Here is a 26,603-nt window from a genome sequence, read left to right on the forward strand (position 1 = left end):
GTAAGTGCTCAGTATATATTAGCTGCTGTTATTATCATCTTCTTATAGTCATGATTGTTATTACACAGTGAGCTATGCCCCAAAAGAGCACTAGCAAAGTTCTTGGAGTACAGAGGAGGAAGAGATTGTTTCTGTATGCAGTCATTAAAAACTTAATAAGGGAAGATACCTTTGATCCAGGCCTTTCATGGGTTGGATTTAGATAGTTGCCAGGAAGTGTAAGGGAAGGGGGTTTTCCCAGCAGAGGAAAATAGCACAGGCATGGAGGTGGGAAAGTATGGGCCAGGTGCACTGCACCCAGGTTAGTATATAGGTTGGCCAAGTGTAGAGTACCTGAAGGCTAAGGGGTGAACAGCAGGCAGTCCCATATGCAGGGGTTTCAATAACTGACACTATCCTATCGAGTCTGGATTTTAGTAATTCTGCTTCATGGGAATTCCTAGCACTTCTGTGGATTAAAAACATTATTATGGAAAATTTCTAAGTATACAGAATTAAAGTAGTGGGAATCATATAATGAACCCCCATGTTCCTTTCACCTAGCTTCAACAATTATCAACTCAGGACTAATCATGCTTCATTTTCCTTCCCCGCACCCCCTCCCACTTTTTTTGCTGTACTGTTCTGAAGTATGTATGCTTTTGTGAGGGACAGATTTGGTCTTTTGGTGTTTTTTTTTTTTTTTTTTTTTTTTGTAAAATCTTTAGGATCCTTCTTCTCTGGCTAGAAACAATCCATTGATACTAATTAAACTGGGAATTGGAGCTTTGGGACAATGCATACATAAAACAAATGACTCTTGGTTATATATTGTGCTTTTCTTTTCCTGCTCAACACAACCTTGGTAAAGCTTGGCCAATCAGACCCAGTTTTAAAAGCCCTTAAAGTGAAAGACACATCACAGTGCCAGTGATGACTTGAACTTTATTTACTCTCAGGCCCCTGGTTCTAAGTGTATTCATTTAAAAACAAGATTGGATGTCTTTGCAATCCAGCCCAACTCACCAGTACATGTTAGCCTCTCACAGTAGTGAGGGGAAATTCTGGATGGCTGCCATATATTAGCCATTGCTAGAACTTTTCTGCTAGATCATGAAGATATAACAAGAACCCCTGAAAGGTGATAGAAACTGCCCTGTTTCATTTGAAACTTAATAGATGTCTCAGAATAGGTGCAATTGACCAGAGACCCTCCCCTTAATGCTTTTGGTCTAATGAAAGCCAGATTTACGCCCCAGCTCAACATGAATTTACATACTATTGCTTTGATTTTACAGCTGAGCAACACAGGCACTGAAAATTAAAATCATGATGACACACTGGAACTCACATCACATCAAACAAAACATCATATGATGTATGCATACATTGTATACTGTGTACCAGTTTCCTGAAATAGTCACTGCAATAGCCCCACAAGTGTAAAATAACCAGAAAATCCCAGGGGGACTGGCTGCTGTCTAGAGAAACTTAGCCTGTCTCACCATTTTTTTTCCCCAGCCATCTCCCAGATCCCTTTAGTTTGTGGTTATTCCTGTATTCCCGTAGTTTCCTAAACTATCTTGGAAAAATAGAACTTTCCAGAAATAAAAGTCACAATCTTAGACTAAGCAAGAGGCAGTTCTGATAGAGGTGGCATAATTATGCTCTCCAGCAAGACCATCTAGACTTTAATACAGGCAGAAGGGATGGATTCCACTTGAGTCATATTTCATCTGCACATTCCTCTGTTCCCATCTGTGCTGGTGTTTCATCTTCTTCTCCAGCTTTGTCTGCCACTTTCCTCTCTTCAGCCTGTTGGCTCCCATTTCTGCCATAGTCTTGTAGTTCAGGTCCTTTCACTTTTCCTATATAAAGACCTTCTTGACCACAGTTGACCATCTCCCCTCCTTTCCCGTGCATGCAAACTCTATTTTACCTCTCTTTGTAATTCTATTATTTGAGAGAAAAGCCACATGAGGGAGGGCTAGAGTTGCTCAGCTTCTGCTCTGATATAGGGGCCTTATTGGGGGACGGAGTCTTGATTTGGCAGGCTCTCCTTTCCAGAGCATGGGGGATCTTTGCCCTTCAGATTTCAGAGCCATTGCCTACAAATGTCAGAGGTATAATGGTTTGGTTTTCATGCTGGCTTCTCACACAGTCCATCACAGTGATTCTTGGAGCCAGAGGGAGGTATGGAAGACTGTGTGTTCTCCAAGGGAGGCACTGTGGTCTGGTGGATAAGAGTGGGAGTCCCAATCCTTTCTCCGCAGATGTGCTAGCTGTGCACTCTGGGCAAGTTTCTCACTCTCCTGAGCCTCAGCGTCTTTATCAATATGACGAGAATAAATACAGCACCTGCCTACCTCATGGGGTTGTTTCAGCAGTCAATGAGATCATGTATATGAAGCATTTAGTATACCTAGCACCTAATAAAAGCTCAACAACCAGTAGTCTTATTACTAACAAAATGGAGCTAGAAGGATGCATTAGTTTAAACAAAATCTTGAGGCAGATACTGGGAGTACCTGTCTTTATTCTTCAACTTGAGTCTCCTCCCAGTTTGTTTGGATAAAAACTCAAATGTAATATTTTTAATTTGGGTAAAAGAACTTCTGAGAAAGGGTTGAACATCTATCCACTTGCCTTTTTATGCCTAGGGAACTAGAGATACTTGTTGGCGGCATCGCAAATGTTGCTGACTTATGAAGTACTGCAGTATCTGAATACCTTTTTGTAGGATAATCTAAAGTTTCCAAAAAATAGTATAGTGTTGTAGTGAAGAACTTGGACTCTTAAGCCAGATTATTTTGTTCAGATTCAGAAATCCCCTCCACTCCACCCACTGGCTGTATAGCCTTGCCCAAATCACTGAATCTCTGTGTGTCTGCGTCCTGGTGTGTGAAATGAGGACAATAGTAGCTATTGGGTAGGGTTGGCCTGGGGTCTAAGTGATGACTGCCTGTAAGGTGTTTAGAACAGTATTTGGTAAACAACTGGCACTCAATCAGTGTTGCTGTGATTATGATGATTTATTCCAAGGTTGCTTGCTTTCCAGTACATCATAGACTACTACTTGACCAAATTTACTAGCAATGGAGTACCTGAAAGTTTTACATGTGCACATTTGCATGAAAACCCCACAAAATTTCCCTTTGAACAGTGAAGGGGACGGCACAAAGATAATTCTTGGCACTAAGCTTAAAAAAAAAAAAGACTCAAGGAAAACTCTCTACATGGTCCCAGACCTCTTCATTCTGCCTAACCATTTAATAGTAAAATTTTTAATGTTAAAATGTGCAACTAAGAACATAAATGCAAAGCAAGGGAAAAAGGTGTAATTTACACAGAGCCATATCTGCCATAGCAAATGGATGTGCCTCTGATACCGTGCTAAGGGAAGGAGACAAGAAATCCTCCTTTGTGAGGCACCTCCAATGAACAAGCACTGTGATCTGTCTGTATAGACCCCTTTTAAGGCCCTTTATTCTCACCGTAACTTTTCTAAGTAGATATTGCTGTTTCCATTTTAGAAGTGGGGAAATTAAAATGCAGAGATGGGATACTCCTTGCTCTGGGGGAGGGCAGGAGGCCCAGTGAGCAGGCACAGAGCTAGAGCTTGACCCACATCTCTGACCACACACCCATGCTTGTGCTCAGGCCAACACATGCCGCTGCCTTCTCAGGGTAGGGGCCAGGTCTTACACATTTTTACATTCCAGGGCCAGAGAAGGAGTACAGTCTATGATTGTGGAATGAAGGGATTAAGAAATTAATTCAGAATGACTCTTTCTAGTTTCTTTATAGTAACAATTCTTTGGTAGAATTCTGAAGCCAGAAAGAACATCTATGGGGAATGTTAGGAAGGGCAATTTATTCAGAAAGTCATGGCAATGTTTGCGGATTCCCAGTGCATAATAAATTGTGGGGAACAGAGCCAAGGTATATAGTTTTTAATTTGGTAGACTTGGGACATTAAAAGATCAGCTGTAGACTATAGAAAATATATTTTTCAATATGATACAAACATTCGAGTGTCTTTTTAAAAGTCTGACTGCTATAGATTTTGATCCTTTTTTTTTTTTTTTTTTTTTTTAGGATCACTAAGGCTATTTTAAAAAAGCTTGAACTATTTTGGTTTGTTAGGGTTGTATTCCTTAGAGTGAATGGATCTATTTCTTTTGAGATTTCTGGCAATAAATTAGCATATGGGAGTCAGTCATATTCTCCTTTATTGTTTTAATTACTAGAACTGAACAATTGCCTAAAATACCAAAGAGAATTCACCTCCAGTGGCTTCAAGGAAACTATACATCATATATCAAGCAAAACCAGGAAATCAGATAGGATATCAATTATCAATATTAAAATGCACCAGTAACCAGCCAGAACTAATATTAATCATATTCAGTCATGTGCTTAGTTTATGGTTAGAAGAACAAGCTAATGAAAGTCTCTTGAGAGGAAAAGGGAAAGAGTATAAAAAATATTTGAAGTGGAGAAGAATGACATATGTGAGTAATAAGAGAGGCAAGAAATTAGAGATGGGAGGACTGGTAAGGCAATTTTAAAAGGGAAGAAGGAAGATAGCAGCCCAGGTTAAGCTTCAAATGAGCAGGTTCAGGAAAACAAGATTCTTCAAAATAATGTATTTCATTGCATTTTGGCTTAAAATATTTTCCCTAATTGTATTTTTTGCACACTTCCTACACTTTTGGTCTCTTCCTGGAGAGCTACATGCTACCAGGAACTGAGACTTTTGCCAGAGTACAGTACTCATTCTCTTTTAATTCCAGATGAGTCTGCCCTGGCCAAGAGCTTTGTGTGTCAAGAGCCTTGTCTCTCTCATTCATTGCTGGATCCCTGAGAACCATGCTTAGCTCACAGCATTTTTCATGAATTCTGAGATGCACTTTCCCCCCTAACATTTTAATATCTCAGAAATGGGAGTCATATATTACAATTGATGACCTGTCATTGTTTAATTGCCAGTGGCTTTTTTTTTTCCTGGTGGTATTAAAATAAAGGCATTGTAACAACCAATGGTGATATAGATTCAATGAACCATGGAGGTGGACGCTTAAGAATTATTTGATGAATGAATATATGCAATAACATATCTCCCTGGTTCTAGTTCAGGTAAAAATGAAATGCTTATGAGTTGGTTCTGGATTGTATTTCTGCCGCCAGTGAGGCAGGGTAGAGGTTGGCCTCTGGCTATCTTGGCTGAGCATTTTAATGCTGTTCACTTTTCCTTGAGTGGAGCTGATAGATGGCTTGTTCATTCTTGCAAGTGAAATGTTAAATCAATTAAGACATACCCCAGATAAGCTGAGTTTAAAATAAGAAACTTTACTTTTGCCTTGATTTTCCAGAAAATTGCTTTTTGTTCTATTTTGGATTGCATGTCCATCAATATTTCTCTTGTAAATTCATGGAGATACATAGGTAGATGAGCAATAATCTCTTTCTCTGTCTCTCTCAATAAAACAAGCTATAGATTTCATTAGGATAAAGTATGTTTCTATAGATTAGGATGCCCTTATCCATCACCACCACCACCACCACCACCATCTCTTAGAGAGCTTCCCAACCTACAGAAGAGACAAAGTATATGTAGGTATATTATCCATACTTTAGAATTTCATAATCCACATTCAGTATATCAAATTGCATAGAAGTTATGCCTCAGACTTAACCATGTGAAGTACTCTGCTGTTTTTTGGTGTTCTGATCTCATTTTAGTTTGGTTTCCTTTGAATGGAAAATTTGAACCTGATTTTGATATTGGAGCAGGATGTGCTGCTATTTGTTTCTCTGTGTGAACAGGGAGGGGAAAAGAAACACGTGAACATTTTTAAATGGCAAAACCAGAGATGGGAAGGGAGGCAATATTGAACGTGTGCTAGGATAAGGCTTTCATATAAAAAGTGTTCAGATATTAAGATATGTGAAATATTTGGGGCCCTTCATTAGATAGCTATTTCAATCAGTGATGCTTTTAAGTTCCAAATTGTCTGGTAATTATGTAAAGATGCTCCAGTGAAACACCATTTTTGGCTTAGGGAAATATTTATATACTTACCAGATAGTAAGTATATAATTATGAATATGATAGTAAGTATATGAATTTTGAAAATATGCAATGTTATTACATAGCTACCATATAAAATACAATATATGAGGGCAGATTTACATATCCCATGTAGAAATGTGGGTATTTATATATAGGAAAAGGAAAATAAACAAGCATTACTGAAGTATTTATGAGTTTATGGCATTTAACTCATCTCAAACATTTATGCAGTGTTTTTTCTATACTAATTTAATGTTTATATATGAATGCATAAAAATAAATAACATGGAAAAATTAAGTTGTAATGGAATTTTTATTTTCATTTTTCCTTAGCCTTCATGCATTTTGATTTTTAAACAATGTTCTGACTGTCATCAAATCAGCCAAGTTGAAAATTGAGCTGCATCAATGGAGACAGCCGGTCTTGATAATTCAAACCAAAAAGACCTTTTCTCGAGGGATATATTCTCCCTGGTTTATTTGGTCTGAGTTGTTTCTCATAGCTCTAATTTATTCTTTTGTATACACTGCATGAAGACAATGTCTATAGAGATTTAAAGCCTTAAAAAAACTGGGTATTTAATGTCATGGACACATCCCAAAAAGTGGAATTCACATGAGAGCAGGTGGTTATGGGGTGTGTGTGTGTTACCCAGATTTTTAAGACATTTGTCTTTCAATCGACATGCATTTATTAGGTACCTGCTGTCTCCCCAGGGCTGGGCTTAAAAGTCATGTGTTGCAGTGCAAACAAAGTATAATGTAAAATGTGCATCCTTCTCATAAGAAGTTTACAGATTTGGGCTAGACAAAGAGAACTTTAAAAAAAAAAGTTTACAAACTACGCTTATATGAACAATGTACTTCCAGTGTATAATAAAGTGCCAGATGGTGTGGCATGGTGACTAGACAATAGGAATACGTATTAAAATATGTATGTGTGCAATAAGGAAGTAAAGGCCGTTTAATAGGGAAGAAATGATGGCCTGGAGTCATCAGGAATAGGTCCTTGGAAGAGATGAAGGTTGGGCTTGCCCTTGGAGGGTGCGTAGCGATGGAAGGGCATCCCAGAGAAAGAGAAGATGTGGAATGATGATGAGAGGGGTGCGCATCATGCATATGGGGGCCAGTTGGGAGACAGCCTGTGCTAGCGTCATTCTGTGAGTGGCGAGAATAAAATGAATTCAGTAGGTTGTGGTCAGATAATAAAAACAGTGACAGCCAAACAGCTAATTTTACATTTGGTGTTTTGGCTATAGGAATCTCTGTTAGGTACCTGAGCCAGGAAGTACTGTTATGAAAGCACTGTTTTCATGGGTTGGAGGAGGGGAGCAGGGAGACTTCTAGAAGGCGGTTAGAACAGTCCAGGCACCCTGTGATGAGGACAAAGACTTCTAACAGCTGGAAAGGCAAGAAAGTGACTCTGCAAATGACTGTCCAAAAATATTGGTCATCAAGTTTTTATGATCATCTTAATATAAATAACTGGCAAAGATTTCATTTCAAGCCAATTTTCCTGTAAATTTAGATTTTGGATAACAGTCTTAAGTAGCTAGTTGTGTGCAGTGGGAAAAACAAGATCAAAGTAGAAGCAAGAAACTGAAGTTTAAAAATATTTGTGATCCAGAGTGATTCAGGGATCAGTACGATTTAAACTACACAAATGCAAAGTAGGAACGAAAGATTCTTAAATGTGGATAGAGTCTCCAGTACAAGGAATGCAACAACCCCTTCCCCCTGAAAATAGCATAGAGACCATCTAGTGTGTATACCCTGGAAACACTTCCTGGCTATGTGGGTTACCGGCTTTGTGGTCTTGAGATGGTCAGTTTCTGCATCTGTAAAACAGAAAGAATAACTGTGTGTGCCATTTAGGGTTGCTGTAAAAGCTAAATGAGGTAATATATATAGTGTGCTTGTCATTTAGCAAGTGCTCAATAAAGTGTAACTAATAAAGATAAATCCTTTTGGACTCAACTTTTTTAAGAGAAAGAAGGAAATACTAACAAATAAAACTCATATGAGTAGTCCGAATCCGTTTTTTAAAAATGAACCATCTTATGATATACAGCTTTCGGTCATATGGATTTAGCTTATTCTTTACACTTTGCACATGTATAGGACTCTAGACAGAAAACTGGTATTTATCCAATTATAATCCTAAATATTTTCAAGATCTTCATCAAAAAAAACATTTTATTTAATTTGCTGGGTTTATAAAGGTAGAACATTGGATTAACATAAGATGATTTTTGAGAAAAAAAAAAAAAGGTTGCTAGCTCCCAAATTAAATTTCTTAAAATCCTACATTTCTTAATTTTTCTAATTACCTGACCATTTAAAATCCTGACTTTCTTTTGGAAGTGAACACAACCACCTACTTTTTGGGGTCATCTTTTTTGTTCATATGCTGATAAGTTTCAGAATATATCAATTAGGCACTTATTATTGATTTGATAAATCAGTTTTCCTTTGTTCTGGCTTAGATGTCTGGAATACATTTGGGACTTGTTTCAGTTGTAAACATGAACAAACAAAGAAACAAAAATCCACAAGAATGTGGGCAAAATGTCGTTTAGTCAAAACTCAAGTGCATCTCCCCTTGATTAGAGCTCCTCTTTGAAATAGCTGGGTTGCCCATACACAGATTATCAAGGTCATGTTCAAGATTAAAATGAGCTGTGGGACAATAAGCTGCCTATTATGGTAAGAAAACATGCAAACAGAAATTGAGACCTAATGTCTTTCCTCTGTCCTGGCTTTTTTCTTTCTGAGCCTAATATACCTATTTTGTCTAATTTAGTTTTAGCTTTAGTTATGCTTTCTAAAATTACAATGTGTGTGAGGATTGGAATTTTTGTCTTCCAACAGGAATTAGGGTCTATGTAAAATGCCTTTCCTCCTACGGGAATGGGAAGAGCCACATACCTCCTTACGTGCCGCGCCTGGTCAAGGCTGCAGTGTGGAGCCTCTCACAGGGCCCATGATGTGAATGTGCTTCCAGGATGTAGTGGCCCTGCAGCCTTGCTGCTAGGAGACTGGTTCTCACTTCATTCGAGTGGTAGCCCCTGCAAACAATGACAATACAAGGATTACTTTTTAGATGATGAAACTAACCATGCAAAGTTATGTTTAGATTTTGAAGTGCAGGTTAAAAAATATATATGTGGTTGAATCTACTGTTAAAAAAAAAAAAGACCAAAATTCATGGGTTTGCATTTTAAGTTTTCTATTGCAAGAAAGAAATGACAGGACTGTTAAGGACACTGATGGTTGGAGCTGAAGCCTGAGGATAAAGGCCTTGGAATCAGTTCTCCTTCAGTGTCAGCTGCCATAATCATCAGCTCTTTGGTGTATCCTGGCCAAGATATTAGTTTCCATAAATTAGAGAACTTTATGCAAGTGCCACATACCATCATGTTTACCACAGAATCCACATCATCAATGCCATCTATCTAGTCAGCAAGCTTTTATTGGGTGCCTACTATGTGCAGGGCACAAAATCATTTTGGATGGGCATGAAATGAACTCGATTTTTACAGATTTCTACCCCTCATTTTTACAAGATCATTATATACTTTATATTATTAAATTATTTAAAGTTATATTGTTAAATTATATAATGTGTATAAAATAATCTTAATAAAGCCTTTGAATAGACACTCAAGAAATATTGGCTGTATGAATGAATGAACAAACCATACCGGTGTGGCTCTCTATTGGCAATTTTCCCCAATCGGCTCAGACTCCAAGGTCTCTCCTATGTCTAGGGAGTTGTCAGGAATGTCTGGAATGCGGCAGCATTGGCTCAGTTGAGTTCCTCTCTGACATTATTTCTGAGTTGCGGAGTTTCTTGGGCAGAATGAATAGAAGCAGAAGCTGTGGCAGCCACCTATGGGCTCTGACAGCTCTCTGTGGCCCCGTCCCTAAACTATGGCACATCTTGTCCTCTTCCTGTACCCCAATAGCCCAGGTTTGTTTCCCATATGAGAGTAGGGCCTGGAAAGAATTTTCTCCAATTTGCTCTCAACTCCGCATATTCATGTGTATGTTTGAATTTAGCTACTAGAGAAGGTATCAAATATTGTAGCAAGACATTAGGTTTAAAAATAAGTGTTTGTCATCTTTCTGAAACTATTTAGATTAAATTTTAAATGCAAGAAACACTTTCGAAATTACTTTGGAAACATGACTCCATTCCTAAATTTAAGTGTCACATTTGCCCTGGCTGGTCCAGCAGGGCAGGCCAGTGCCTCCAGAGCCTCTCCGCCTTCTGTCTCTTCCTCTCTCTGTGTGTGATTTCCACACAGAATGTCACTGGGTCTAATACAGTTTTCTCTGGAACCCCCATTCCGCTAAATTGACCACATAGAATAATCATACTTCTTTTTGAAATGGAACTATGCAAAGTCTTGAATTTTATTACAGAATTTAATACCAATAATTACTTAAAATTTAATGAATTTCACTACTGACTTAATTGCTTTTGAGTAGTTCCACTTAATTTATTAAAGAGAAGCAAAGACATATTCATTTAATGAGCAGCAGAAGTCTTGCCCTCACCTCTGCCTACATTCTCTTTTCAATTAATCAATTATAGTCCAGTGGTGTGTAATTGCACATTAAGAAAGTTATTGGATAGCTCAGCATGCCTGTCCCAGGAGGCTCATGAATACACTACTATAACACACCTGTAATGACCTGTGCTCAGATCTGCAAATTATACTCATTGCTCTCTCTCCTTCTCTTTTTTTCCTAAATTAAGATGAGAGCAATTTCCATTAACTTTTTGAGTCACATCTAGTCCACATGATATAGAGAAAGGGTAAAAGAAAGACTGAAACAGAAGTAAAAATGGAAGAAAAAGATTTGATCTGCAATTATAAGTAATCTGCCTTTTGAAATTAGCTTCCTGAGACTCAGTCCTGATTGGAGAACTGTTAAAGTGTTTCAGAGGAGCAGGGGTTGTCTATCCGAGCAGTGTCTCCTGAATCATACTGAATACTTGAGAAAATCAGACCAGCTTTATTTGAACTCAAATAGTGACTTGCTTCTCAGCTTCCTTCAATCTCCTGATGAGAGAAATAGGAAAACAGGAAAACCTTTTGAAATCACATTCAGGCAAATTTGCTTGGCTTGTTTCAAATCAAACCAAAGTCTGGAACTGATCCCCATGCAGGAGCGCTAAGCCTCTGCATAGCAACTAAGCCGCGTTAAAAAAAAAAAAAAAAAAAGGAAAGGGAAAGGAAAGGAAGAAGGAGGAGAATCCACTAAAAAGGCAACACAAAGAGCAAATTTTACTTCATTAATGGCCTAAAGGCTCAGGTTATGTGAAGGGGTCTATTCCAGTTATGTCCTGATTTATGCTAAACCAGTAAAACCCAACAAGAACCTCTTAATCCAAATTACATAGTCAGAGACATTCTAAATGCCTAAACCAACCAAGTGATTTTAAGCAAAATAAGCTTTTGATGTCTGCACAACTCAAAACTCAAGAAGCAATCTGTTGACATTTTCAGCAAATGCTAGCTTAGTCTGAGACAGAGGCAGCAGTGGGCTTCTTCACAATATTCTTCTGGGTAAAGTGATTCTTCTCCCCTTGCCTCCCCCGTCCCCCACAAAAAAAAAAAACCCTGCTTCCATTATCTGTTTACTGAGGTACTGACAAGGGCAGATCTACTGTGATTAATGGCTGTCCATCAGAATAGAAAGAAGGATACATTGATACTCAGCTAGCAGATGCTCATGAACATGCAAATGAATGTGGTAAGCCTTCCTGGTCAGGAAGGATTTGCTTTGTTGATGTTTTAAACTCTGCAGCCAATTTTGGGCATTTTGTGTGCTGTTTTCCCTGCTACGGCCACTGGCCATGGACACTCCGCTGACACTTGGGCAAAGCCTGCCTCCCAGTGTGCCTTCTGGGGATGCCCTGAATGGAGAATGGGTGTCAGTGGCAGAGGCACCCCGTGTACTTTCAAGGTGTGTCCTTTCCTGGCACTCCTGGCCTGTCAGGACAAATGTCTCTGCCCAAGGGGCTGTCTTCCTGTGTGGGCTACGTTTGTGGCATCTCATGGGCCTCCATGGGGTTGAACTGTAAATAGTGGCCGCCACATAAAACATGCCATCTGTACCCCTGTGGGTAGCAGGATGGAACACAAAAAAGATTTATTCCAGGAATATGAACTGATGTTTACAGACATGCCAGGACTGACTTTTAAAACACAGTGGAAAACTGTCTCAAAAGCAGCTTAAGTACGATGTAATGGAAGCCCCCCAAAAAGTACTTTGGGGGCATGAAGGAAGCCTCTATGCTCAGAGAGATGTACTAAGCTAGCATATCCATGGCAGGCCCCTTTTCCCTGAGATGTGAGATACCATGAGGTCTCATCATAAGTTTCTGAGAAAGCAGGGCTAGACTCAGAGGGTGCCTGTGGCTCTCATGCTTTGGGGACCTAGAGTTCCCCAAATCCCCAGCCCCTGCAATAATGTTCAGAAAACGAAGGGGAAGGAAATAACTTTGGATTGAACAATTGGATCTCCATGGGAAAGTTTTCTTATTTCCTGGCTGGGACTCAGGGCTGTACTGGGGGCATCCTTTGTTGGTGGCATTATACTCACAGGCAGACATGGGCACCTTGGCTATCATGTGATGACCATATGTCCCAAGATTTGCACACCCTTTTCTGTTTCACCTATTTTGTCTGTTTTCATAAATCAATGGTCTTCAAATGAGTTCAGGTGGCCCAGCATTTGGAAATGTGCCAGTCTTTTGAGAATGCTGTGAATTATTGACATATTTAATTCCCATTGTGTGAACTGAGAGTAATTTTTGCCATCTTTAATACAGTTATCAAATAAAAGTCATAAACAAGAGCCAACAGGTTCACAAATATATAATCAAGCTGTCTAAGCAGTATGGACTGTTTCTGGTATCCTATTAGTATTCCTTTGCCACTTGCTTGTTGGTTTTGTCATCTGTGAATGCTTGTTAGTGGATACAGCAGCCTCGGTCTGTGAGATAAATCCTTGCCTAGTGAATTTGGGTAATTCTTGTTTATGCATGCTGTGGTTATTGTCTTGTGATATAATTTCGTTTCACTGCTCGTCCTGTTCTAGAGACCTGGCCACTCCTTTTATGAAGAGTGGCTCCTGCCCCCACCCCCTAATCCCCCTACACCCTCTATCCCACCTCTACCCCTACCCCACCTCTACCCACATCCCATCCCCACAGCCCTGCTCCTTGTTACCCATCTCCCCTCCCCACCTCCTTCTCTTTGGAAGCTAAGAAGGTGAGGTCAGGGGACAGGCGGGCTCTCTGAACCTTCACTGCAATATGCCTGTGAGGGCGCCCCCAGTGACGTGGCATAATAACACCCTTCAAGTTGGCCCTGAAGCGGGGTGAGGTTTCCGGACCCAGACCTGCAAATTGTGTCAGCACCTTGGAGCCTCCGAATCTCTCAGCAGGCAGTGGCATGTGTGCGTCTTCATGGGTGCGTGCATGTACATGCAGCAAGTTTCGCTGAAGATTCAAGTTAGTGAAGGGCATTTATGTCACAGCACTGTGAAAAATTTAAAATTAAATATGACATTTCAGTTCATAAAAATTCTTTGGCCCATCTGGCCCCTGGAATTTCTCCCTGGCCTCACTTCCCTTCAGGTCCCAGTCACCTGTCAGTCTGCTCAGAGCCCTCTTCCTCCTCCCCCCTCCACTCTGCATGTTCATCCCCCATGCTCAAATTTCCCACAAGTTCTGATGCTGAACAGATTAGCCATCAACCAGACAGTCTTTGTGCTTCCTGTATTCTCTGGATACATTTCGCCTTTGTTCTCATATATTATATACATACTACAATATCTGTTTTTCAAAGTCCCAGTGGGAATAGAGCAAGTCAAAGGAGGGCTGACACTTGTACCAGAATATTAAAGACCAGGCAACCCCATCTCCAGGCCCCCATGGGGCTAGCAAACTGAAGTGGGGAACCCAAGAGGTGCTGGGGTTCAGGGGCCTCGGCTTCTTAACTGCCCTTATCCTAACAAGAGATTATGGCTTCTAATTAAAGGAAGGAAAATATGTAGGCGAAAAACAAATTTGCTAAATCAGTGCATTAACATTTCTTTCCAGTGGTCTGGGAGAAAAGAGATTTGAGTGCAGTAGCAGCTTCAGCTGATCCAGTTTACCAACAGTGTGTCCTTAGAAGCTGAGTTTGGGACCCACTGTCTCTGCTGTCTTAGAATGTCCCAGGAAGCATGAATCTTCAGCATTCTGATGTGACTCCCAGACTGCCTCTGGCTCCAGGAACAAAACCCAAACCTTTCCTCAGACCCTGTGCCCTGGTTCAAAATTCACGAAATACAGCTCTCATGGCTGTGGCCCGTTCTTTCATGTCCAAGTTGTCTGTAGCCTCTCACTGCTCAAAATGTGGCCCACCCACCGGCAGCGGGGACATTGCCTGGGCCCCTGTTAAGCATGGAGAATCCCAGGTCCCACCCAGACCTCCTGAATCTCAGCTGCATTTTAATGAGATCGCTATAGCATTCTTGTGCACACTAAAGTTGGAGACGCTATAGGCTAGGGGGTGATGATTTTTAGCCTCTAAATTTAGGACAGCTTCAGTGAACTCCTTATCAATATAGGACACATACCCACTACACATTCACACACCCCCAAACTCTTTCATAGCCATTGAGAAACATATTGTGTAGATCAGATAGGCTCCTTTTTTTTTTTTTTTTTTTTTTTTGAAAGGGAGTCTCATTCTATCTCCCAGGCTGGAGTGTAGTAGCGCGATCTCGGCTCACTGCAGCCTCCACTTCCCGGGTTCATGCAATTCTCCTGCCTCAGCCTTCCAAGTAGCTGGGATTACAGGCACACACCATCACGCCCAGCTAATTTTTGTATTTTTAGTAGAGACAGGGTTTCACCATGTTGGCCAGGCTGGTCTCGAACTCTTGACCTCAGGTGATCCACCCGCCTTGGCCTCCCAAAGTGCTAGGATTACAGGTGTGAGCCACTGCGCCTGGCCCCTAGATAGCACTCTTATCCACAGCTGACAGAATGTCTTGCTGGAATCACAAAAAGTAACAGGTTGGGGTGGGTGGCAGTGGGGGTGCAGCAGGGATGCAGCATTCAAGGGAATGCAGCTCCCCAGGAAGTTCAGCCCCCTTCTTCACTGCTTCTAGATATTTGATGTCTGAGCTTTAGGGCTCCAGCTGTGGGGGAAAAGGCGAGGCAGCTAATAGCTATCTAAATCCCAAACTGCCTTTGTGTGCTTGGAATTTGGGCTCTATTGTTTAATCCCCGGAAGGAAAAGAGGGGGTTCCTACACTGAAGGTCTGGGTGGGGGATAGGGCGGCAGCGCCCTCACTGGGATCCCCTCTTCCTCCTACTTTGCTTTCTGCCTACAGGAGCAGGAGAGGCTGGACTTGACTGGCCTCCCTCTGCTCAGGCAGATGAATGTGTGTTGTGAGGAGAGGTAGCCAGGGGCAATCCCAGCCTGCACCCCATGACTTCAAAGGAACTGCCTATAGTGATGTCCAACGTGGAGCTTATCACCACCCCCATCCCTTGAACAGGTGAGGGAGCTTTGTGCCTGGTAGACTCCTTGGCCTTGGGTTTCGCCTGTTGTTGGGAGAGAATCTGTCCTGAGAAAGGGGACTGGGAAGAAGGTGTGTGTGGCAAAGCACTGGGGCTGGTGAGCATTTGACCTTAAGTCCAGTCCCAGGGACGTGCTCTGGGTGATGTTATTGATATGGCTCACATACATTTTCCAGGACACCTGGTTTTAAATGTTCCGCCTGTTGTCACACTATAAATCATGGAGAGGACTTGGGGCTCCAGCTACACATCCCAGTCTGCCTTACATACCCCACCCACAGCAGAACAAACATTGGTCAGATAATGTGTCCTGATTCTTTTCAGGCAATTGGTGACAATTTGTTGCACAACAGGAAGTGGACAGTAACTTAAAGGATCATGTCTGTAGCCACCTGGAATTTCTGGGACAGGCCCAACATGAAATATTCTGGTCTGTTATCATTCAGCTCCCAAGGAACACTGGTGCGCCTCCAGCTGGCCCCTCGTGCTTTGCTGCTGATGTCAAACGCTGGCATTGTTGCAGAAAAAAATTAAGTTAATGAATATAATTTTTTTCCATTTAAGAGTTTCTCTCCTACTTTTTCTTACGCATTTGGCACCTGGTACCTATTGTAGCAAGCATATGCTAGCACTTATCAAACTGAATAAGCAATAGGAAAAAATGAGCACTGCTGAACTCAGAAAGAGCTGATCATGTGTAGTTCAGCAGCCTTTTGTGTGCATGTGAGGAGTATGTGGCTTGAGGTTGGGTTTTCTTGATTATGCACATGCAATATAATCAGTATAATTATATTTTGGGGGTATAACATTGTTTTCAGTTCAAATATAGAACTAACCATATCAGCATTTCATGGGGTTCCATAGAGAGCTTTGCCCCTTACCAGGTATGAGACACACTGTGTCAATCCAGAATCTTAATGGCTGCTGGAGCTATGGGCCTCTTTACGGGGCCAGCTCTAGAGAGAGGTGAGTTGGTTTGTAGCCATGAATGTGCTGTGATTTGAGGGGCTACTCAAGTGGAAAGGATGGGCTACCCACTCACACAAAATTCCACTATTAGAGGTTACTTTCTTTGGGTTGTGAATGCCATCTAAGGTAAGAGCCTTATGATGACTGACACTTTGAGTTTCATTTGCCTAGGACTAGGGTCCTGAAGGAAGGATAGATAACCAACGAGGAGACAGAGATGAAGAAGGTGGGACAAACATCTTACATCTTATACACCATGGTTTTGTTCAGAACTGGGCTTGTCTCTCCTTTGACCACCTGGTAGGGCAAAATGCTGCCAGTGATTTGGTTGGAATTTGTGTGGTGTTGTTTCCCCTCACCTCTGAGTTTCCTCGTTGGTGATGTATGGACTGGGGCATGATGAATGAGATGAAAAAAATGGGGGGCTAGATATATACTTTATGTGGAGGTGCAAGGTCCCGGTCCTTTCTTGGGAAGGATTCTCTTTTCTTTCTGAGATGATGTCTTTTATAGTTGCGTGGTATTAGAATGTCTTTTTTCTTTTCCTTAAAAAAAATGAAATGAATTACTATTTTTGAGATTTCAAAAATAAGGCAGAAATAATTTAGAGGACTGACATAGGATGGTAAGTTTAAAAGCTATTTTTTAGCTTTTGCTGATTATGGAATCTAAAGCCGGGTAAGTGCTGCATGCTGCACTGTGCCCAGTGACCTGGCTGTAGAAATCGACATCTCTTTTAAAATGAAAGTTTCAATTATGTTTCCAAGTATTCTCCATCTTATACTACGTGCAAGGTCCTCACGAGATGAGTTAAGAGACAGATACTGCCCTCAAGGGCAGATATGACAGGAACTCAAGAGACAACAGAAATTATAGTGACCTGTGCTTTGAGCAAGGGAAAAAGTATCGAAGAGGGGTCCCAAGGAGGAACAGATCACATCCTGTTGGGGAGAGGGAATCCAGTGAGTTTGTTCGATTTGGCATCAGAAAGCCCCTTAGCCTGACACAGAAACAAGAGACTTTTGATCTATTCTTTAATACCACTCCCCCGCCCCAAACCACCACTACCAAAGAAAAATCTAGGGAGTGTCATCAAATATGTCCCCAGCTATTCACACCCTAATTTGATACTTTCAGTAAATGAAAATGAGGCCAGACTGTTGTCACTTAGATCCATGATCTCAGCAGGCTTTTGATCACACACCTCATCAGTTAAAATAATTTTTTGAGCACATGCCCACACTGTGTACTTATTTGTAAATTGTATAGATGTACTATTGTTGTAGTATCTTTATATAATTATAAATTCTCACACAAATGGAAATGATTAACAGTAACTGTAAATAGGCATTCTAATATTTTCTTCCCTTACTTCAGTGAATGATCTTTGCACCCCCTGGGGTACCCCACCCCAGCTTGAAGACCACCACTTCAGAGAGGTATGTATAGGCTGTCAAAGGAGATAGGATTTTATAATAATAGCCCTTATAGACAAGAAAAGCCCCAGGTTGTATACTCTTAGGCTACACTTCCCGCTCCTCAGCAAATCCCAAGAATGAGTTGGTGTCTGTGGATAGTAGAGAGAAATTACAGAACAGCCATGGAGCACAATGCAGAGATTCTTTGTCTTAAGTCAACTCATGGTGTAGAATTTGTACTTAACAAGTCAGTAACTGATACATTTCCCAGGACTTCCTGCTTGATCTTGAGGGTCTTTCAGGCTGAGGTAGTAAGTGGTGTTGGCAGCCCTGGTGAGGGGGTAATCTTGTTGCCTAGCTCCGTTATGCATAAGGAGTCCTAAATATTAGGAAGAGGAGAGAGGTTCCAGGAAGGCCTGCTGACAAAGCCCTACTCCCACCAGACCATCACTGGCCCTAGGGGAGCGCTAAAGTGGGAGCAAAGCACTAAGTCAGGACTGGGCAATGGGGTCACGATCTTAAAGTGCTACCCAAGTGTTGCCAGCTCCTAGTCATCTGGTGCTCTTTCACCCATTCCTGACTGAGGATTTCTAGTTCTACGAGGACCTCTCTTCCCACTCTAAATACACATATCCAGTGTCCTTAAGACAAGTTGGGACCCACATAGGGCCCACTTCATAGGAGCTCATTTACAACCACCTCTTCTTAGTCACATCTTATCCAGTTGAAGGCCCCTTGTACTGCCACATAGGTTGTAAACTCTGGGGAAAACAGAAAACACTTGACACTTCCACAAACTTCTATCAAGCATGCATCAGGTGTCAGGCATTTGGGAGGAGCTGCGAGTAGAAGGGGAATGAAATGGATTCTTCCCTTTCCACAGTGCTTATTCGGTCCAGAGCTCTCTGGGGTCTCCGTGAGCAAGACAGCCCACCCAGGGCTGCAGAACTGGCTGTCTTCCTTTCTGGGGACCTCTCTGGACTGTCTCCTGTAAGACGTTTCATGGCCAGAATCATTGCTAGCTCCTGAAGAGGAGGGTGTACCAGAGGGGACTGGCCCACAGAGGCAGCAGGGAGTGAGAGGCAGTGATCTGGGAAAGAAGGGACACAGTAGGTCTGAGCAGCCCAGGGATCCACATGCTAATGTGTGGCCTTTGCTCGGAAGGTCCTCGCAGGTGCCACATGGCTACCATGCAAACCCTTGGGAGGCTCAGCCCATGCAGAATAGTTGAATCAGAATCCCCAAGAGTGGGAGCCTGAGGAGAAGCTCTTCAAGTGATTCTAATGTGTTTTAAAGCTCTTGAGCATTTCAAAGCATTCAGGTCTTGTTCCAAACATGATTGTTTGGCTGGTTCTGAACATAACCTAAAGCAATAGTACCATTTGCTCCAACCACATGCCCACTCTCTCCCCATCTTTCTCTTTCTTTGCGCATGTGTGTGTGCGCACGTGTGTGCACACGCACACACACACACACACACACACACACATACACACACCATGGACTTAATGAAGGCAATTGAATACTTGCCTTGAGAAGAGTTGAACATTTGTTCCACTGGTAATTTTTAAATAAATGCATCACTACCATAGTTACCATTTGTAGAGTATGAATTTAATACCTGGAAAACAAAATGATTCTGGCAGGCTGGAGAGAGCAGGCTGTTTGCTCAGCAGGTGCTGCCCAGTGGGGCCCAAACCCAGAAGACTTGCTGTCCAGTTGTGCTTTCCACCCTCCCCAGCCAACCCCATCAGCCTCCGTTCCTTTACTTCTGAAGGTCAAATGGTTCTGCCCCTTGTAGCTGCCCCAGTTCCCTCTTCACTAAAGGCTTCAGAGGCGGAGGCCTGTGCCAATAACTGAGAACCGACATGAGGTCTTTGTGGGACTGTTTGAGCCTGGGGTGTTTATTATCCTTCTGAATGGCTTTCTCCCAGAGAGGGGAAGAAAGAGGGGGCCCCGGTGGAGCCAAAGAACAGTAATCTTTCAGGAAGAAAGGAAAAGGCCAGCAACAGCAACAAAAACTTCCTGCAGATGTGGAATTTGAAGGAATCCAGAGAAAGCAAGCCTATTTTTAGCAGGAGTAAGAGTGCAAACCATGATAGATGCCACAGGCTGCTGTCACTAACATTTGACTATAAGCAACATTTTCATATTTAAACATGACAGCCCTGCAAATTGAAAAGAACCAACACTTTCTGCTTGCTGAGTAGAAGCTATCACTTTCCTCCTCAGCCCAGTAGGAGGACCGGCTGTATGTGCTGTGTGGCCGGGCCAGCATTGGACTCACCCGTGTTGTTGCCATGACTATTTACATGTCAGCCACTGATGTCAGGGTACGCAATGGTGGCGACATGGTTGCTGTTCTTTCCGGTCAAGAAGCTGTGCAGTGTTACCTCTGTAGAGAAAATGTCCAGCAGACTTTGCTCAATTAAGCATGTACGTGTAGAAATACAACAGTCAAATGAGCAGGAATAAAAATAGATTACTTTTGAAGGAGTTAACTAATTCCATCGGGAAAACTGGTGAACTTGAGGTGAACCCAAGAATGGAAAAAAAAGAGAATCCCAGAAACGTGAGCTCTGGAGCAGTTTACCAGACCCCAAATGAGACATATGCATTACATCCTCTATACCTTTCATGAATATCTTGCCCAGATCAATATCAGGAGGGCTGGCACACACGTTCTTTTGAACCTTTAAGCAGCAAGCATTTTTCTAAGGCCTATTAGAAAATAATTTGCCGTTAGCATAGTGAGATTGGACAATTTGGGGCAAGATTTCTGAGGACAAGACCTGGAGGCTGACTTCTCCACTGCCCATTCTGACTTGCACCTGTTCCCACTCTGCTTGAGTAGGCGTTAATTATTGGCATTCCAAATGGTCAACATTGGCTCAACACTGAGTGAGAAGAAAAGGCAGAAGAAAACCAAAGGGCAGAACTGATAGCTTCAGGTCAGTCTGAGTGCAGAATGAAAGACTCAGCTGTTTTTATTATTTCCAGCTTGTTGACCTTGCTATACATTCACAGAAGTTTGAACTTTTCTAGATAATCAGCAAAACAAAGCAAGATGAGAAGAGAGTTTGAAGGGTTTGTTTAGGCTCCTCTTTGTAGACTTAGAGCAGCAGTTTCAAAATTCAGTTCCAGCAGCATCAGGTCACCTGGGAACGTGTTAGAAATGCAGATTCTTGTGCCCCATTCAGGCCTACTGAACCAGAAACTGGAGAGTGGGGCCCAGGAATCTGTGGGCTAATTTTTTTTTAATGTTGTAGTTATATATATAAAACATAGCATTTTCTATTTTAACTGTAGAATTCAGTGACATTCACAGTGTTTTACAACCATAACCACTATCTGTTTCCAAAACTTTTTCATCACCCCAAACAGAACCTTTGTAATTATTAAGCAATAATTCCTCACTCCCTCCAATCCCCAGCCCCAGATAACCTCTAATCTCCTTCTGTCTCTATGAATTTGTCTATTCTAGATGTTATGTACAAGTGGAATTATGTGGCCTTTTTAGTCTGGTTTATTTTGCCTAGCAGAATGTTTTCAAGGTTCCTACATGTTTTAGTATATAGCAATACTTCGATACTTTTTATGGCTGAATAATATTCCATTGTATGGCTATACCATGTTTTGTTTATCCATTCATCTGTTGATGGATGCTTGTGTTGTTTCCACCCTTTGGCTATTGGGAATAATGCTGAAATGAACACTGGCATACAAATATCAGCAGTCTGTCTTTTAACAAGCTCTCCAGGTGACTCTGATGTACACTGAAGTTTGAGAAGCCCTGAAGTTTCCAGAGACCAAGTGCTGTTTTTAAACAGGAACTCAGAACGCTAGGTGGAGGCTGTGTGCCCTACTGCAGCTTTCTGCATCCCAGCCAGGGGTCAAGGCTGTAGCCACTTACATCTTATTTCTGCTGCCAAGATCAACATTTAGAGTTTCTCGAAGGTCCTAAGACTAGACCCAGGAGAAAAATGCCTTTCTGGATTAAGGGTTCTCTTTGACCTTGTTTCAAGGTGATGTTTCAAAATATTTCAAAGGGATGGCAGAAAAACATTTATTAAAAATACATAGCCATTCAGTTGTTTTTGACTAGACTGTCTGGACTCAGATGTTTTATGTTACTCCATGATTACCTTGATATTAGATATAAGAATGACTCATTCTACTTTTATGTAGAGAAATCAGGTCTGTTTTCTGAGAATTATAGAAGTAGTAAGTGAGAGGAAAAGGAGAAAGAAAAAATTGTTTGTTATAAGTTCACAGATACTTGGCTTATGTTTGATTATGATTGTATAAGAATTTCCAGGTTCAAAGACCTTCTTAACTAATTCCTTCATGTTCAGAAAGGTTAAATAATTTTATTGCAGTTTTACAGCTAGGAAATGACAAAGTCAGGATTAGAATCCAGGTCTAAGTCCAAAGTTGCTGAATAAATCAATTTATACTGGCTTCTAGAAGCTTAAAACAGTATGCCTTTCAGAGATATTTGGGTTTTTAACAGGGGACTCCTGGATATATCATATTTTAACCTGAAGAAATCTGCCTTCAAAGGTAGAATATACCTAAGGCAGAGGAAGGGGAGGCCTTTTCAACAATCACAAAATGATCCATGTAATCTGCAAGCTCAGCTCTAGCAATCTCTGAGGTGCAGGTTCAGAAGTATGTTGTGTTTCATCTTGTGTCACATGTTAAGAATGAAATGGAAGTGTAAGGCAGAGCAGCCTGGCCCATGATGGTCTGGATGTTATGATGCCTTAAGTACAGTAGGAGTAAGGCAGGCGCAGTGGCTCACGCCTAAAATCCCAGCACTTTGGGAGGCTGAGGCGGGAGGATCACTTGAGGCCAAGAATTAGAGACCAGTCTGGGCAATATAGCGAGATCCCATCTCTACAAAAAAATTAAAAATTAGCTGGGTGTGGTGCACACCTGTGGTCCCAGCTACTTGGGAGGCTGCAGCAGGAGGATCCCTTGAGCCCAGTAGGTTGAAGCAGCTTGAACAGTAGAGTGAGACCCCATCTCTTAAAAAATATATATATGAAAGGACAGTAGGAGTAACTGAAGATGTTACCCTTGGGACAAAAAGGCCAGGGAGCACATGACACTGTTGCCAGGTTTATGAAGGGCTGCCGTCTGGAGGAGGATGTTGTGCTAAGTAGCTTCGAGAGAGAGGGGGCCAGGCCCATGGGTAGGGTTTGCAAGAAGGCAGTTCTCTTCTCAGTATCAGAAGTCTGCTAATAAGAGTAGGATGAACACTTTTATAAAGTAGTGAGTTCCCCGTTGGCAGAAGCATCACAGTAGACTAAGATGAGCAGCCAAGCGTATGGCAGCAGGGCTGCCTGCATGGACTGGAAAGTGCAATGAAATGACCCCTGGTGCCAGTGATCTACTCCAAGGTGTTATGACCCTGAGGTTTCAAAAATTGCTGGATTGTTATTTGCTGAATGCAAAACCGGTATCAAAAGGGAATTTGATGTTGATCTATTGTGTTAGCTGTTTTAAAATATGCCCCTCCTTGTAAAAAAATCACTAAGCATCATTGACGTAAATTTCTGAAATATTTAGAGTTAATTACTGTTTGGGGATTTGTTTCCGTCTGGTTATAAATTCAGTGGGAACATCATTTTGAATGTTTCCTGATAACTGTGTACTGCTCTGACCTACTGGCGTCTCTCTTTTTATGCTGATAATTAGAGAACTCAAAATGGAGCCACTCCCTGAGTAAGGACCTTGGGTTCTAGCAAAGCAGGAGAGATCCAGCTGGAGCCTGCGGCACCCATGGGGACTGTTTGTGTTATTCTCTATATTTCATGCAGCCACATTAGTGAGGTTTGAGGATTTGGGTGGTCGGCATGATCATGGTCTTCAGACATTTGAAGGACATAAACACAGAGGAAGGAAGGAATTTATTTAGCTCAGAACAAGGGGTATAATTAGGGTAGGAGTAATGAAATAAAATTAAGGAAAGAAAGATTTAGACTGAATATTAGTGGGGTACTTCCAAGCAATAGATTTATTAAGCTTTTAGGTATTTTCTAGGGATTATTACTCTGTTTTCCAAGTCACTTGGAAATCAGAGGGACAAAGGCTGAGATAATCTTGAGGAAACGACAGCCTTTGGGTATGGGGCAAAATGAGAGGGCTTCACTTTGTCCCTCACCTGCCCCTAGTCTGTCTTGTAAATGTGAAAAGCTCAGTGGGCAGTCCCCTTCTGAATTACTTCTGTCTACCTATAGAATGTGCTTGGTTTTTTGTTCAGACCAGGAATTATTCAAAGGATGGTGTGTTCCCCAAGGGAAAAATCTGATTGTGAGAATCTGGGGAGAGTTCCTACCTGCCCTGAGGTTGGGCAGGCTGATTTCTGCTTGTTAGTTCTGCCTCTGGAGAGCAGGAAGAGGAGGCAAAATTTAATCAATTCCAGTTATGGACGGGAAAGGATTTTGAAACTCTGGGTTAAAAGAAGATGACTAGTTAGAGACCAGCCTGGGCAACAGAGTGAGACCTTGTCTCTAAAAAAAAATTTATAAATTATCCAGGCATGGTGGTGTATACCTGTAGTCCCAGCTACTCAAGAGGCTGGGGTTGGAGCATCACTTGAGCCCAGGAGATCAAGGCTGCAGCGAGCTAGGATCATACCACTGCACTCCAGCCTGGGGTGACAGGGCGAGACTCTGTCTCTGGGCAAAAAAAAGAAAAAAAAAAGAAAAAAAAAGGATGCCTACTCATTGAGGAAGGGGGGTGGGGGGGGGGCGGGGGGGCGGCTTCAGCCATTGTGGAGTCTCTAATAAATCAGGAGCTTTTCTTTCCCTCTGGAGCCTTTCCTGTGCACTCTTGGGATCTACTTGTCCTTTGCAAAGTCTAGTACAGCCACCTCTCCCATGGGGAAGGAGACACTTAGCATCCTGGGACCACCAGTCACAGCTTTAGGACTTTAGCTTTCCTGGACCAGCCCTGATGGCACCATGCATTGCCTGGATGGTATGCACGGACCCAGGCTCCCTTCTGAGACTAAGAACAGACATTTGCATTCAGGTATTTTGCATATGCCATTGATAGCACTGAAAAGTAAAACAATAGAACAAGATACTAAAATCTGGGAAGATTTTCTTGGGACTTTCAGTACATCTAGCTTCCTCTCTGGTCACAAGGGTAGACAGCTGGGGACTTTTCTATTACTGGGGTAGCTCCCTTGTAATTTTCCACTTTGAATCTTACATCTTTTTGTATTAAGTTAAATGGTGTTTTGCTCTTTAAAATAGCCTTGTAATATGGCTGGTCTGCACTGCTCGCTTTGTCTTAAAAGGGAATAAAATTCTTAAATTGAAAGCAAATCGGAGAGGGTTCTATGGCGCTCTCTGCGAGGGGCCGAGCGTGGATTCGGGTCTGATGATTACTTTGACTGCAGAAACAGTGGGGGCTGTAATCTCCGAAGCAGCGGACACTCACAGCGACGGTTGGCCCAGTCCTTTGATTTAGACAGCCCTTGGCTGTCTTGCCTGGCCTAGAATCCCTATTCCATTGAAGTCTGGCCTCAGGCTGTCTTCTTGGGCAGTGCCATTTGCATCCAGGCATGGGGAGGGCCTCTGTGTCCTCAGGGTGCCGTGTGTTTGTGGTGAGAGAGGATGAACAGGCAGCAGACAGGGGCTCCCGGGCAGTTGCTGGGCTGCTGCTCGAGCGTCTGCCAGGCATGATGAAATGGGAGGAGGCAGGGAAGGCTTCAGAGCAGCAGGGTTCACCCGCACACCTAAAGTCCTAACAGCATGCAGGCATGGTATAAAACAGGTGATCCCTTAATGAGGTTTTGATGTGTGCGCTGGCTTTTGAATTTTATGCTGGAGTGTCACTGCAGTGTGGGGTTATCTCCAAGGAAACCCTCACATACCTTCCACATCCATTTTCTAACCCCGCTTCTAAAGAGGGCAGCGTGCCCCAGTGGTCTTAAGGGGCATTATAAAACTCTCGAGATAAGATTAATTTGGATTCTTGCTAATTTGGAAAGTCAGTGTAGTCATGAGGAATGTGTGAGTGTGCTGAAAAAAGTGGAACCAGCCACCCTCTAAAAGGCAGGGTAATTATTATACAGGGTTGGGTTGAACAGAGGGTTTGTGTCGCCTTTACTGTTGGTGATCATCAAAGATGTCTTAAGCTAAGAACACAGTTGTCTTTCTCAGTGTGACTCCCGTTTACTGCGTATCAAGCTGCAGGAAGTCCAGCTGATGTAAATAGATTAATATTTAAAAAGTAATACAGAAGAATGAGGTTCCAAACATGTAATGTTTAATTATTGAAAACCCATAATGGAATTCCAATCCAAACTCATCTCTCACATCTCACTGGTGTTCAGCAAAGAAGCTCAATTAGCTGGGGAGCCTGCCCACCCCACAGCTTGATTTGATCATCCCAGGGCCAAGCCCATGCTCTCTCTTAAAGTGCCTGGCAACACAGATGTGGGCAGCTTGGGTTGTTGTATGACTCCTTTTTTTTTTTTTTTTTTTTTTTTTCTGAGACGGAGTCTCTCTGTCGCACAGGCTGGAGTGCAGTGGCACGATCTCAGCTC

At 42.1% G+C, this 26,603-nt stretch overlaps 1 protein-coding gene across 9 annotated transcripts in view, besides 3 other annotated features; it reads left to right on the forward strand.

Annotated features, from left to right (window-relative positions):
- Window positions 1-26,603, forward strand: part of SOBP (sine oculis binding protein homolog) — a 171,190-nt gene that overhangs the window by 101,182 nt on the left and 43,405 nt on the right. The gene's annotated exons all lie outside the window — the stretch shown is intronic.
- Window positions 12,971-13,472: an enhancer, noted in NCBI's record as "H3K4me1 hESC enhancer chr6:107925473-107925974 (GRCh37/hg19 assembly coordinates)". NCBI's record gives its function as "activates a minimal SCP1, AML or CMV promoter by ChIP-STARR-seq in primed H9 embryonic stem cells {active_cell/tissue: H9 hESC(primed)}" and the evidence as "EXISTENCE:reporter gene assay evidence [ECO:0000049][PMID:30033119]".
- Window positions 13,473-13,972: an enhancer, noted in NCBI's record as "H3K4me1 hESC enhancer chr6:107925975-107926474 (GRCh37/hg19 assembly coordinates)". NCBI's record gives its function as "activates a minimal SCP1, AML or CMV promoter by ChIP-STARR-seq in primed H9 embryonic stem cells {active_cell/tissue: H9 hESC(primed)}" and the evidence as "EXISTENCE:reporter gene assay evidence [ECO:0000049][PMID:30033119]".
- Window positions 21,907-22,201: a silencer, noted in NCBI's record as "tiled region #6907; K562 Repressive non-DNase unmatched - State 13:Ctcf". NCBI's record gives its function as "represses a minimal TATA promoter and a strong SV40 promoter by Sharpr-MPRA in K562 cells {active_cell/tissue: K562}" and the evidence as "EXISTENCE:reporter gene assay evidence [ECO:0000049][PMID:27701403]".

The sequence above is a fragment of the Homo sapiens genome, chromosome 6 (genome assembly GCF_000001405.40).
Source record: "Homo sapiens chromosome 6, GRCh38.p14 Primary Assembly".
In the NCBI taxonomy this organism is placed as follows: domain Eukaryota; kingdom Metazoa; phylum Chordata; class Mammalia; order Primates; family Hominidae; genus Homo; species Homo sapiens.